Source organism: Homo sapiens, chromosome 8 (genome assembly GCF_000001405.40).
Source record: "Homo sapiens chromosome 8, GRCh38.p14 Primary Assembly".
NCBI classification, from domain to species: Eukaryota; Metazoa; Chordata; class Mammalia; order Primates; family Hominidae; genus Homo; species Homo sapiens.
In genome coordinates, this window is record NC_000008.11 from 123013116 (window position 1) to 123027176 (window position 14061).

A 14061-nucleotide genomic window follows, 5' to 3' on the forward strand; every position below is an offset into this window, starting at 1 on the left:
GCTATAAAAATGCCATAAAGCATGCTACAATCAGATATGACTCCTCACTCAAAGTTAGCAAGCATCCTCCTTCATTAAAATGAAAACCCAGGAATTCTGCATCCAGGAATTAATCCAGCAAAAAATACTGGGTACTTCCTAAATGCTCTTCAAGAGATAATTGGTTACACAAATTATGTGATATCTAAGAGACAGCAGAGCAGGGACATGGAAACTTAACACAGACAACCTTCAAGTTGCACATTTTAATTTACAATTTTTACCAATAAAAAGGATTAGTTTACAAAAAGGGAAGTCCTTTATACAAAATAAGGATTTTTTTTTTCCATTTGTAAAGAGAATCCACTGTCATGTTTTGCCTTGTCAAGTCAAAACTCAAATAGCTTGTTTTGGTAAAATTATTCCAGAAACATAATCCAGACAAAATCAATAACGTCATCAGCTTCCTAACCATGTTTAAGAGGAATAACTTCATGAACATTTTGCCCTGAACTGAAGAGTTCTAAATACTTGTAAACCTTTAGGAAAAAATGACTGCTCGCAGGCAGCTGACTGGTAAGAGGGTACACCAGAGACTCCGGGTCACTCACTGTCAGAATATTCTTATACATACAATGAGTCTCCACGCCTGTACAATGAGTGTACGTGCAACATAATTGGAGTAATGGCCTCTAAAATTTTACAAGTAAACTTTATTGTGGCCACAGATGAACAACAAAACATGACAGTTAAGGTTCAGACTCTCCCCACCTATTTTATCATATAAATTAAATATGGAGAGGTACACACAAACTCTATTCAAAATGAGAAGTTGTTTGCCAACTCTCATTTCCTAGGATAACACACATCACACTGTTTAAGAGTGGGGGAAAGAATAGTCATACTGTTAGAGCACAATGTTTCCTGAAAAGAAACTGATCAAAACGTTTGAAGCCTTTTTAGTTGCCTCAAAGTGTGACAGCCACTCAATACTGCTCCTAACAGTCTGCTTTCAGATAACGTCATAAAATAAAATAACTGTGTGAAAAGCCATGGCCTTCAAAAAACTTTATTTGGTTATGAGCCAAGCTCTGATAGGAAAAGCCCACCTACGAAAAAAAGGTGTGGGTATTTAAGCTGGTCTGATTCACAGAGCTTGTACATTCATGACTCAAAATAACACACCCTCAAACCCAAATGATTCTAAAGCCATTTCAACCTTAAATCATGTTATTCCCTTAGATGTGCTTACATTAGCTTTAAAAAATGATCTACGTGCAGAGAGGAGCTGCGCCTTCCTCACAATTAATTGAAACATGACCAAAAAACGGGGGATAGGCAAAAAAGTGACATTTAAATAGCGTATGAGGGTCTCTCCTCCTTTACTCAATGAACACATATCCAGAATGAGATTGAAATGGAATCAATGCCCAGGAGCCTCTCAAAGAGAGCATCTCCCTGTAGCCAACATGATCTGGATCCTCCTAACACAAAGCAACCCAACTACTCCAGCTACACAAAGCCAGTAGGCCTACATATGAAACGCAAAGGGGTTGCATCCCCCATGGTTTAAACCTAACCCATGTTAGCTGCAACTCCACTACAGTCTTGATCACTTAGCTCAGGAAACAAACACCCAGCAACAACCCTCGTATCTCATTAATACCAATCTGTGGCCCTCACTGACTCAGTGGTACTTTTTTATAAAAATATCTGAAGAAGTGGCAAACGGTTACAACGGATGTCAGGTCGAAGCAATTCCAAAAGCTGAGAAAACGCTTCATCCGCTGCTTGTCTTCTCCCCCTATTGCTACAGTTCTGCCACCAAAGGGGGAAAATTACGTGAATATGATTGTTGTGACCAAGCCTTGGCAAAAGTCAATAAATAACAGAACCTGTCAAGGGCAGAGCAATTTTATGGGCAACCTCTTCTAGTTGCAAATGTGGGGGTTGGGAAAAGTGGGAGAGAGGCATGTGTGCAAGAAAGAGATAAGGGTCCTTTTGGGAAGGGTTTGGTGACCCAGCCCCAGCTCAATGCCAGCAGACTAGGACCCGCTAAAACCCATTATTCAGACGGAAAGGGGAGAAGAGAAGACACCAAAAAATGTAGTCAGTTTTGCAATTTGCACAGTTGGTATTTGTTCTTCACAGCAGTAAGGACTTGAATGAGAATCGTGAAACTTGTGGAACACTTATATTTTTCTTCGGGATTTAAGAAACTTTGTCTCGTACTGAAAGACTACATTCAGTGTGGGTCAGGTCCAACAGTGTTAGCCAGAACGCAGTTGTTAAGTGCACCCAGCACTGGGAGGAAATGTGGCTTGAGAGGAGCGGCTGCCCGAGGCCGCCCCTTCACTGGTCTCCAAGTCGAAAGCCCTGGCCCCAGTTGTGTCTCCCGCCTCCGCCATTCTGATCAGCAGCTCGCCTCATGCTAGCAGGGGGCACACCAAATCCTGATACTCCTCCTCTCCTACTGGGCAGCCAGCGGTACCTGGTGCAGAAAGACGGGGACACAAACGGAGAGAAGAGAACAAAGTCACTTCCACATAGTTATCTGACCTCCGAGAACACCTCCCTCTCCTGCTGTTCCCATGGCACTTGTCATGTTGAAGGCAGCGAGGGACGTCTTATTTAACTTTGTCTTTTCTGTACTCAGCCCCATGACCTGACCACAGACGGCATTCGTTTTTCATGTTTCTTAAATGTATTCAGATTTCAGCTAAATTCACACTCTGAACGTTTTTTTCTCTGCTTATAAAAGTAATCCATGCAGAACAGTATGGAAACAAAAATATTACACCCACAAGCCCAGCAACCAAAGAATGACTGATAGCATCTTGGTATATCTAAATATGGCTCAAACTGGATCAAAGGATACAAAATACATTCACTTTCAAAGGCCAAATCCACAGCCTGCATGTTTGAGCCTTGCACAGCATTTCTAAAAGGCTCTCAGCTGAGCCCATCAAAGGAGACAGGGGAAGAAGGCTTTCTATGTTGGAAGTATGGGTATGTTTTAAAATTTATTCAGAATCTGCCTTCCAGGTACATTCTTCCCTTCTCACAGATGGTGGGAGAGCTGGGGCCCCAGACGGTTAGATGATTTCCCACCTTAAAATTAATAAACTAAGAGTTCACAGAACAGCTAAGAGAACTTAAACCCAAGCCTACACTCTCAATAGTATTTTCCAACTATTTCCCATCTTTGACTCTTTTATTAGTAAACTGAGAATGTGTTTAAACCTATTCCACTTAGCAGATCCTAATGTTTAAAATTTTGCTTGAAGGCAGAGAGCATGATCTGATACCTCCGCTTAAACCCTTCTTGGCAGCAAGAGTAAGTCATGACAGGTGACTTGTCCACAGCAGAAACCCTGAAGAGGACAGGCTTTATACTTGACCTTATACTAGAGCAGTTACTATGTGAATTTACTCAGTGATTATTGCCTTACACTAGGTGCTGCCTGCTTATAAATTCATCTGATCTTCACAATAACCCCATGAGGTAGGCATTACTATTACTCCTGTTTTATAAACAAGAAAATTGAGCCAACACTGAGTGAAGCGCTTCGAAAGTGACAGGATTCCAACCTAGTCAGCCTGGTTCCAGAGCCTGCGCCCTGCACTACTTGTTATACTACATGCATCCTGCCTGGGAAGGGACAGCAGTCAGTGACTGGAGTCTGTTTACATCATACTCGATACCTTCATGCCTCTTCCCAAAACAGACAACAACTCGGGTTTTTGTTTTTTTGTTTTTTTTTGAGACGGAGTCTCACTCTGTCACCAGGCTGGAGTGCAGTAGCATGATCTCAGCTCACTGCAACCTCCACCTCCCGGGTTCAAGCAATTCTCCTGCCTCAGCCTCCCGAGTAGCTGGGACAACAGGCGCCCGCTACCATGTCCAGCTAATTTTTGTATTTTTAGTGGAGCCAGGGTTTCACCATGTTAGCCAGGATGGTCTCGATCTCCTGACCTCGTGATCCACCCGTCGGCCTCCCAAAATGCTGGGATTACCGACGTGAGCAACCACGCCTGGCCAAAAACCCCTTTTAAACACAAAATTTAGTGTGTACAGAGAAGATATAACTACTCTAAATGGAATGGAAAATGGTGATACAAATGTATCAGCATTCCATTTAGAAAAGCAGTTATACCTTCCTATACTCACCTCCTCCATTTTAAACAAATACAGCTTTACCATTAAATCAAAATGTATTTTCCAAGTGCTGGTTTCTCAACATCCATGCCTTCTGGTACAATAATATTCCTCCAAAGTACATAATAAAATAGAACACTTGCTGGAGAAAATGCTAGGGCTGTCTTGCTTTGCTACTCACTCTAAGACAATATGGAAGCCATCTCCACTGCTTAAGTAGATAGTGAAATTAAATGCAAATAATTAGTATAAAAAGATACCCAATTATACATAATCAACAAAAATTTATGGTAATTTCAAAGCAGTTACTGCTTTTGCAAGGAGCTGTATTTTGTCATCTGATCTTTATGCAAAATTTAGCAGAAGGACTTCCCCCAACAGAGAAAGTTCAAGTGGAAGGCAGGCTCCAGGGCTCGCTGATTTTGCCACTAGAATCTTGTATCCTGTGTTGCCCACAACTGAGAAGTAGCTACAAGCCGTTAAGTTAGAATATGGCCATTTAAAGTAAAGTAACTGTTGGCTGCCCCCCAAAAGCACCAAGCTTTTTTTAATTGATGCATCTGCCATCCTACTTGATAAACCTAGATCAGAAAGCCAAACCTGCTGTTATTATGTCCTTTGATAATTAGAAACCAGATTGGTCATTTGTTTTTTTAGCCTGAAGGCAATTCAAGGCTCAGAAGAGAAACAAGTTTCTTTTTATTCTCTTAAAGAAAAACACACACACCACAACCACCAATATGGTATATCTCTGTATATTACAGTTCACAATTTGAAAAGTCTTTGAAAAACATACCCCTACCCTATAAAAGGAAGGGGAGAAAGAGGAGGCCTGCTCAAGTTTTACTGCCCTCACTGATCCCTTAGAGGAATGACAGAACTGCAAAACATTAAAATTAGCAAGATGTGGAAGGGTTTGGTTTGTTTGTTTTTTTAAAGCTTTCAAATGCAAGCTATTACTGCATATCCCTGATATGAGATTAGGCATGATTGTCAGGCAGGCTGTGACACCCAGATGGTGATTTAACTGGCCCGTTCTTCGACAGCCTTTTGCCTCACTGACAGAACGGTCACACGACTATTACATGCTTCTGGGTGTGTGCGCGTCTCCTCTCAGATCGTCAAAATCCTGCTCTCCTACCCCCACCTTTAGGAATATGGCAGCTAGCTTTACTTACCGAGAACCCGCTACTGTGCTTCCCAACAGTGTATCTTACCTCATGCAGTCCTGTGAGACAGGGGCTTCTCCCACAATTTACAGGCTTGCAAACTGAAGCTTGGAGGTTTGATTAAGTAACTTTCCCAGTATAAAAACTGCTATCTGAGGGGACTGGGATTCAAATCCAAGTTTGTCTCAAAAATCAAAGCTGTTGCCCTTACCAGCCCACTTCAGTAAACCCTAAAAGCAGATAAAGAGCACAAACTCCCAGGGGGTTGGGCCTATACAAACCTCAAGTCTCTCATTTTAACTCTGAACAGTCCTGTAAAATGTCTACTCCATAGTATTTAATATAAAAATGTTTAAAATTGCTGACCAACACGCTAACTTACCCTTCCTTGGGCAAAATCATGGGTAAAAACTGATGGGCCAAGAAAAGACACCCCACTAACCTGTGACTCTGCCCATTCACCAGCCTACTGTTTCGCACTCTGGAGTTGCATCAGGTCCCTCAGCAGGCTCAGAGAGCTGAGATGCCTCCTGTAATGTTGGAATCTAGTTGTCAGTGGTCCCTGGCTAAAAGAGTAACAGGAAGGCAACTGAGCCTAAGCTTTAATCCCTAACTTCCTGTGACTGTGTGACTAGGGTAAGTCACTTGTTGCCTCAGGTTTCTCCAGCAGATGGGGCATAGGGGTAAATCATACTCCTCATGGAGCTCTCATTAGGATGCACTAAGAACACAGGCAGTAAAATGTTAGATGAGACAGGACAAAAACACTTACAAAAACTGAGGTGTGGATAGAAAATTTCTTCCTCCCAAGTCCATTGGGTATCTGAACATTAGGAAAAAATAAAGATGTCCAACCAGATTTCCAATAAGCTCATTGATTACCCTGCAAAGAGAGCCAAATGAGTTTAAAGACATTCAAGCAATAGAGATGCACCAAGTTTTAACTAATAGCATAAGGAAGAGAGCCTTCAAGGCAGCCCATTTAGTCCCTGGGAGTCTGTGAGAGCTGACAATGAGCACTTTTGTAGTCTGAGTGGCAAATGCATTCTGAGGGAGACGGGAAATCAGTCCTGCTGAACCAATGAGGCCTGCCACTCTTCAAGGCCAGCAGCCCCTCTGACCTCTCTTTCAAGCACCAGCCCATCCTCAAAATATTGTTTTTGCTACTTCCTGCCTCAAGAGTTGGGGAAGTTGCAAAGCATGCTTCTGAATGCTTTCAGTCATGAATATTGTATTTATAAAATGTGGGCAAACATGAAGGCTACCAAGAGAGAAGCGTGGGAGTAAGGAAAAGAGGAACAATAAATGCCTGTTCCCCCTTTCCTGGAGCCATTAAGCACTTCTCCCTTGCCTCTTGTATCCTTGAGTGTAAGACACCACAGAGATCACTTAGGAAAGCCGACTTGCACCCTGAAATCAACGCTGACCTTCTTCAGTTTTCCCTTGGCTTACATACAGGTCACCTCAAGAGTGTATAGATCTACTGTTACTATTACAAATCCTCTTTGTCTTCACCTGCAACATGATTCCCGTCAGGGGCAAATCAACACCTGCAACTACTTCAGACTTCACCTTCCTGGGTGGAAGAGCAGCTTTGCCAAGTTCAGAACATGCTTTGCTCTAAACAGTCTGCTCCATCCATTCACTTCTCCCCAGCAATATGCAGAAGAAGTTAGGATCACACAGAGCAAATATGTCAGACACATGAAGAACCAGCAATATAAAAATGGATTGAAATATTAAAAGTAGTTTGTAGTATAAGAAATGGGAGTTCTGGCTGGGTGCAGTGGCTCATGCCTGCAATCCCAGCACTTTGGGAGGCCAAGGTGAGCGGATCATTTGAGGTCAGAAGTTTGAGACCAGCCTGGGCAACACAGCGAAACCTCATCTCTACAAAAAATACAAAAATTAGCTGGGTGTGGTGGTGCACACCTGTAATCCCATCTACTCGGGAAGCTGAGGCATGAGAATTGCTTGAACCTGGGAAGCAGAGGTTGCAGTGAGCCAAGATCACGCCACTGCACTCCAACCTCGGTGACAGAGCCAGACCCCATCTTGAAAAAATAAATAAGTAAATAAATAAACAGAAAAAATGAAGAAATGGGAGTTCTTAGAGAAGTTGCATCTTGGTATCCTCCCTTTAAAATTCTGACTGGATAAATTAAAGCTATTCCTATGTCTAGCTCTAATTCCTGACCAATAGACTAGATATTTGACCCTGGTTGGCCAAAAGTTCTGTATTATCATCCAGGCATGGTGGCTCATGCCTGAAATCCCAGCACTTTAGGAGGCCAAGGCAGGCAGATCATTTGAGGTCAGGAGTTTGAGACCAGCCTGGCAAACATGGCAAAACCCCATCTCTACTAAAAATCCCAAAAAAAAAAAAAAAAAAAAATAGCCGGGCATGGAGGCGGGCGCCTGTAATCCCAGCTACTCGGGAGGCTGAGGTAGGAGAATTGCTTGAACCCATGAGGCAGAGGTTACAATGAGCCAAGATCGCACCATTGCACTCCAGCCTGGGCAACAAAAGTGAAACTTCGTCTCAAAAAAAAAAAAAAAAAAGTTCTGTATCATCAAACCACTTGCAAAATTATATCCTATCTAAGAATCTGGATTTCTATGACCGATAGGCAGTTTCCAAGGCATTCTGGAAATGCCTTAAGAATATAAGACATAGTAATTTTATACATAGCTCTTAGAGGAGCCAACTCAGACAAAAATTAGGTCTCTGTTTGCCCAATCAGAATAGTGAATCCAGAAATACATATTTATTCCTGTACTATACACATAGGAACATACTGTGTGTAACAATAAGTTAACAAAATCACAACCATTCAAGGTTAAATATGCTTAAAGCCCTGCAATCTAATCAATTCAATCGAAGTGAAATTATTCCATAAATATAGGGTTCTAATGCGTCAATGTTGAGATTCTTTAAAGTTGTATAAAGGTTAGAGAAAGATAAAAACTAATGGAAATTTTCCAAGGATTAGTTTCCAATTAAATAAATCTAATATCACTTACGAGCCTCCGATGATATAGTTGAATCCAAGGATAACCCAGGGTAAATAGCAGGCCTAGGATGGAATGAATATATGCAAATGTGAGTAGCCACACCTGACGAGGACACAGCTACTACGGGGACTAAAGTGGGTAAGGATACACTGACAAGGGCTTTATATAAATCCTCTGGAAGGTCACTGCAAAATTTCTAGGATCAATCTAGCATTATTCCCACTATACTTAAACCTTCCTATCTAAAACTAGACTTAATTGTGTATTTGTAACTGGAAGGACACAGTACTTTGCCCACAGGTCTGATGCAATACAGGCCCTGCTGAACTGCTATAAACAGACAGCTTCAAAAAGCAGATGAGTGTCCTACAGATGCTACTAAAAGCAAGGCCCATGAGAGAATCACACTAAGATTCCAGCCAACAAATTGCTACAAATAAAATAAACATACCCCATCTTTTTAGGTTCTTCTTTTACATATCTTGCAAAATTCCTCTGAATTTTTATCTCATTATGCATTGATATCTTAAACTAATACTCTCCCAAATAAGAAAGCTCTCCAGATGAACTCAACATTTGAGCCCCTTACCAAATCCAAGACATCATACCAAGAGCTAAAGGAGTTGCAAGAAACTTCACAAACTAGGAAAGAGAGGGTTATACTCAAATAACTTTACAGCTACATGTGCTAAGTACTAAAGAGAAACACAAAGTATTGAAAAAGCCCAAACGTAAGACTAATTCTAGGCAGGAGATTCAGGAAATATGTTCAGTTCCAACTCAAATTAAGAATGGGTAGGATTTATACAAAGAAGAGAATCAAGATGTTACAGGTGGAAAATTGTGAAAGAATGTACAAAGAGAAGTGTTTGGGGGCAAAAACAATCTGTTTCAGCTACAGTATAAAGCAAATAACAGGGAACGAGGGAGGGATAAGAACAGATTTTTAAAGCAGGGTTTCACATGAGTTATCTCTCCTTCTCTCTAACACAGACACATAAGATCACTCAGGGACATAACCTTGAGGGGCCCGAGGTACAGAGGGAGTGAAGAAACAAAGGCCAGCAACGGACTCCAGGCTGGCTAATTAAATAGAGCTGGGATTGAGGAGGGCAGAAAGGGGCTTGCCTATGGTACACTGCTCTGCAGTGACCCCTTCTGGATGAGTCAGAAAGTACATCTCTGGACTGAAGAGGGATTTCTGCAGACAAATGAAAAGGACACTTTTCCAACCAAGGCAAAGTACCTTAAATCGTGTTCCAAACCAAAATGATACAATCATGTCTCTGTTCAGCTGGGCCCAGACATAAAGTACTGACATGATCAGAGGAATCATCAGCAACTGCAAAAGAAGTCGACATGTAAAAACCAGGCTCCAGAGGCACTTAAAAAAGGTGTACATCTACTATGCTTTTTACCCCTCCTCTTCACAACAATCCTCACCTGGGTAAAGGGAAACTCAACTGATCAGAATTATAAATTGATCCTATTATTTATCATACAATAAATATTACAAAATCCTATAATAAAATACAACAAAACTATATTATTTTAGATGGATTCAGAAATGTAAGAGTCAAGCTCTGTTATTTACAAAAAGTAAGCAACAAAGCATTACCATATAATCTCAATTTTTAAAAAACATCCATATACATGCCTAGAAAATACTAGACAACCACTGTTGTCACATGCCTAGAAAATACTAGACAACCATTATTGTCAATGTTCAAACACCAAAAAGAGGCCAGAAATGAGCAAGGAAAGCAATGATTTAGATAGCTCATGTAAGATCTTCAAAGATTTAGCTGACTTAAGATCCTCAAAATAAAACAGCTATAGGCCAGGCACGGTGGCTCATGCCTGTAATCCCAGCACTTTGGGAGGCCGAGGCAGGCGGATCATGAGGTCAGGAGTTCAAGACCAGCCTGGTGACATGGTGAAACCCCATCTCTACTAAAAATACAAAAATTAGCCGGGTGTGGTGGCGTGCATCTATAATCCCAGCTACACGGGAAGCTGAGGCAGGAAAATCACTTGAACCCGGGAGGCGGAGGTTGCAGTGAGCCAAGATCAAGCCACTGCACTCCAGCCTGAGCAACACAGCAAGACTCCATCTCATAAATAAATAAATAAATAAAACAGCTGTAATTCCATAATTTCAAAATACCACATAATTAACCCCATAGTTAATGCAATTTCAACTTCTGACAAAGGCCACTAATAGTATATTTGAAACAAATAAAAGGGCAAATAGATAGTTTAAATGGACACTTACCTGCATATCCATTGCTAAGCCAGTAATCTTGGTTTGTAAAGTTAAAGATCAGACATAAAAAAGCATTCTGTACCTAGTCAAGACTGATGTGGTTATTTTCCTCCCATTTAAAAGTTCACTTGGCCAGGTGTAATTTGGCTCATGCTTGTAATCTCTGTACTTTGGAAGGCCAAGATGGGAGGACTGCTTGAGGCCAGGAGCTCCAGACCAGCCTGGGCAACATAGCAAGACCCCATCTCTAATTTATATACATATTTTTTTAATTAAAAAAATTTTTAAGTTAATTCCAGTGTTCTGAAGGAAAATACTTTTCTATAGTTCAGATTGCTTAAAACATTCTACAACACAAAGGTATCTAATCTTCATTATGCATATTCCATTAGACGATACCATGACAAGGACATAGTAGAAATCAACAGCTTCCGCATATGACTTAGTCTGGTCATCTGGCATCCTTTTTCTCTGCTATTGCATTTTAACATCTCTCCTTCAAATAAAGGATGAAGATGCCTGTAGCCTTTGAAGGAAATAATCATTCTACTTACATTCTCAGGACTCTATAGCATGGTTAAAGTCCAAAATATTTTTTCCTTCCCTCAAAGGAGGGGGGAAAGGGCATCCACAGTGCCACATTTTCTGGCCCTCAGCCAAGTTTAAATGGCAGCTGAGCCCAAAGGCAATTTTGAGCTCACCAATTTTGCACAGGACCTGAGACATCGAGAGCTGCTGCTGCTCTCACCATCTGTAAGAGTCCTGCAGTTGGAGGGCTGCTGACAACTGCTATTGATACAAAGCAGAGAAACGTACTGTGTCCCTTCCCAGAGCTGGGTACTTCACAGAGGGACTGAATTACTATGTAGGACCCCAAGAGAAGGACAGCAATGAAGTCAGAAAAGGATGCTGGTTGTAAATTAATTTTCTGATAAGGACCACAGATTTCAAAAGCTGTCTCATGGCACGGACTCTCTTTGTGCCTCAGTCAACAAGCTGTCACACATGAGAACACAGAGAACTGGGAACAAGAAGAGGGAACAGTCATAAAACTACTCAACCAAAGGTGGAAAAAAATCCCACAAATGGTAAGAGAATGCATCACTCAAGGGCTATATGATTTACTACAGTTTTTTTTAAAAAACTATAATTATTCTTATTAACGGTAGTCAACCAAGATGCAAATATTGTAATTTGAAACGTTTACAGAATATGGTCTATTTCCCCAAACCTGGAAAAAAACTGGTTTATTTCTGGCCCAAAATCACAGACTGAAGGATACCACGATGCAAATCCAGTTAAAGAGGAGCATGAATAAATAGTCTGCTGGCCTCCCATCAAAAGCTCCTGGAAACAAAAACAAGCCAAATGTCATGGTTCAGAATTTCACAACAAAGTAACATCTACATAGAGAAACACTTCAAAAAGTTACAGAAAAAGCCAAAATGAGAACATTTTAAAAACCACTCCTCTCTAAAAAAGTGAATTTTTAAAAATATCTAAACAACGTCCCCAATAAAGCCCTGAATCAAAGTTACCTGAGTAAGGTTAATCTATGCTCTCCTAACTGAATTCCAGTAAGTGACATGCTCTGACTACCACAGGCTAAAACAGACCCAGAGAAAGTACAGTCAATTCCACAGCTTCTGAGCCCTGTATCCCAAAGACCAGTGAGGCCCCCCAAGCTCCCTCCCAGCCTGTCAGCCTTTCCTTCTTGGCTCTCGCCATGACCTGATGGCCGCATTCTGGATTACATGCTTGATCCCTGTCCTCCTCCACTAGACCGTTAAGTTCTGTCAGAGGAGGAACCATGCCTGTTTTGTCTCCATTGTGTCTCCTCCAGCATGGCTATGCTGGGAGGTACTTACCATTATTATTAGAAACACACATACACACACACAACCACCTGTACCACACTGGCCTTAGATACTGAAAAAGAAAGTCTCTGTCTTCCAGAGACGTACATTCTACCAAGGGAAAACAATGTGGGGGAAGGAGGGAATAAAGCGTCAGCCAAACCTTTCCATAGCCTCTGACTCAGTCCTCATACTGCATCTGGAAGGGAGAATGGAAAGACCTACGACCTGCTTCTTACAGATGCAGAGTTAAAGTCACATGACCAAAGTCACAGAGCTTGTTAGAACCAGAGTGACATCAAATTACTAGCACAGTGCTCCTGTCACTGCGCCATATGCCTTATTGGGCAGAATAATCAACAACGGCCTCCCGTGTAAGCATAATTCCTAATGCCTTCAGTTAGAAGACTTTAACAGAAGAAAAAAAAAAAAAGAAACAGAAATGACTGTAAGATCACTCTAGCTTGAAAGTTACTTTCCCTCCCCGTTCCACACCCCCTCACAGTTACATGATACAGCTAGTCAATTTAAAAAAAGAAACCCAACAAGTGTCAGTAAGGCAAAAAGATATAATTAAAAGAAAATAGGTTTCCAGCAAAAGTGTCTTCTACTCTCCTTTATTTCTCCCTTGATACCTCAAAGCACACTTCAGCCACAGTGTTAAGCAGGCCTAATGCTAGAGGATCACAATGATGAATCACAGCTGAAATTCTAACACAATTTCCCGATTTTAATAATAGCTGTGCTTCTTTTGATGTGGCTTTGGCTGTCTGATTCCTAAGGAGTCTTTAGACTGAGTACTTAAAATATTGTAATCATATAAATTACAGCACTATATTATCTGACATGCTTGCAACTGAGAATTTACAAATTAACTGGTTTCAAATTACAGTCTTCCAGTTCAAATCAGAAACCTCAAATAAGCCAACTCTGCTATATAACTAACAATTTAGCCAGGCAGGAAAATGTGCAGGTGGCAAACATTTTGTCAAGATGTTAACTTAAAGCTGTGTGGTTGACAGAAAACTGGGGATCAGTGAACCTGGGTTCCAGTCCTAACTGCGTTAACTCAAAGAGCTCTGCAACTTTTGGGACACGTCACCACCACTCTAGATCACTGTTTTCTTATCTATGAAATAAGAGTGTTAAATAGAATGATCTCAAAAGTTCCTCTCTACACGTTCATAGCAGCTATTATTCACAATGGCCAAAAAATGAAACCAAGTCAAATGTCTATCAACTGATGACTGAATAAACAAAATGAGGTATATCCATACGATGGAATCTTAATGGTAATAAAATGGAATGAAGTACTGATACAGGCTATATGGAAGAATCTTGAAAACATTATGCTACGTAAAAGACATAAGTCACAAAAGGCAACAAGATACTGTATGATTTTAAGAAATGCCCAGAACACGCAAATCTAAAGAGTCAATAAGATCAGTGGTTTTGGTCAGGTACAGTGGCTCACGCCTGTAGTACCAGCACTTTGGGAGGCTGAGGTGGGCGAATCACTTGAGGTCAGGAGTTTGAGACCAGCCTGACCAACATGGTGAAAACCTGTCTACTAAAAATACAAAAATTAGCCAGATGTGGTGGTGCGTGCCTGTAGTC

The 14061-nt window shown here is 41.1% G+C and overlaps 1 protein-coding gene and 1 long non-coding RNA gene across 5 annotated transcripts in view; one reads left to right on the forward strand and one right to left on the reverse strand.

The window, feature by feature from the left end:
• Positions 1–14061, forward strand: part of LOC124902013 (uncharacterized) — a 28197-nt gene that overhangs the window by 10556 nt on the left and 3580 nt on the right. The gene's annotated exons all lie outside the window — the stretch shown is intronic.
• DERL1 (derlin 1) overlaps positions 55–14061 on the reverse strand; it is a 29133-nt gene continuing 15126 nt past the window's right edge. For 2 of the 4 annotated variants that reach the window (NM_001330601.2, NM_024295.6), the window contains 6 exons: positions 11871–11935; positions 10598–10624; positions 9569–9664; positions 8332–8384; positions 6080–6190; positions 55–2470 (listed from right to left, as the gene is read on the reverse strand). In NM_001330601.2, coding sequence (NP_001317530.1) covers positions 2332–2470; positions 6080–6190; positions 8332–8384; positions 9569–9664; positions 10598–10624; positions 11871–11900 — 456 coding nt within the window. In that variant the 5' untranslated portion in view covers positions 11901–11935 and the 3' untranslated portion in view covers positions 55–2331. Of the gene's footprint in view, positions 2471–6079; positions 6191–8331; positions 8385–9568; positions 9665–10597; positions 10625–11870; positions 11936–12607; positions 12658–14061 lie in introns of those variants that run through there. The other 2 variants (NM_001363963.2, NM_001134671.3) reach the window with 2 other exon arrangements.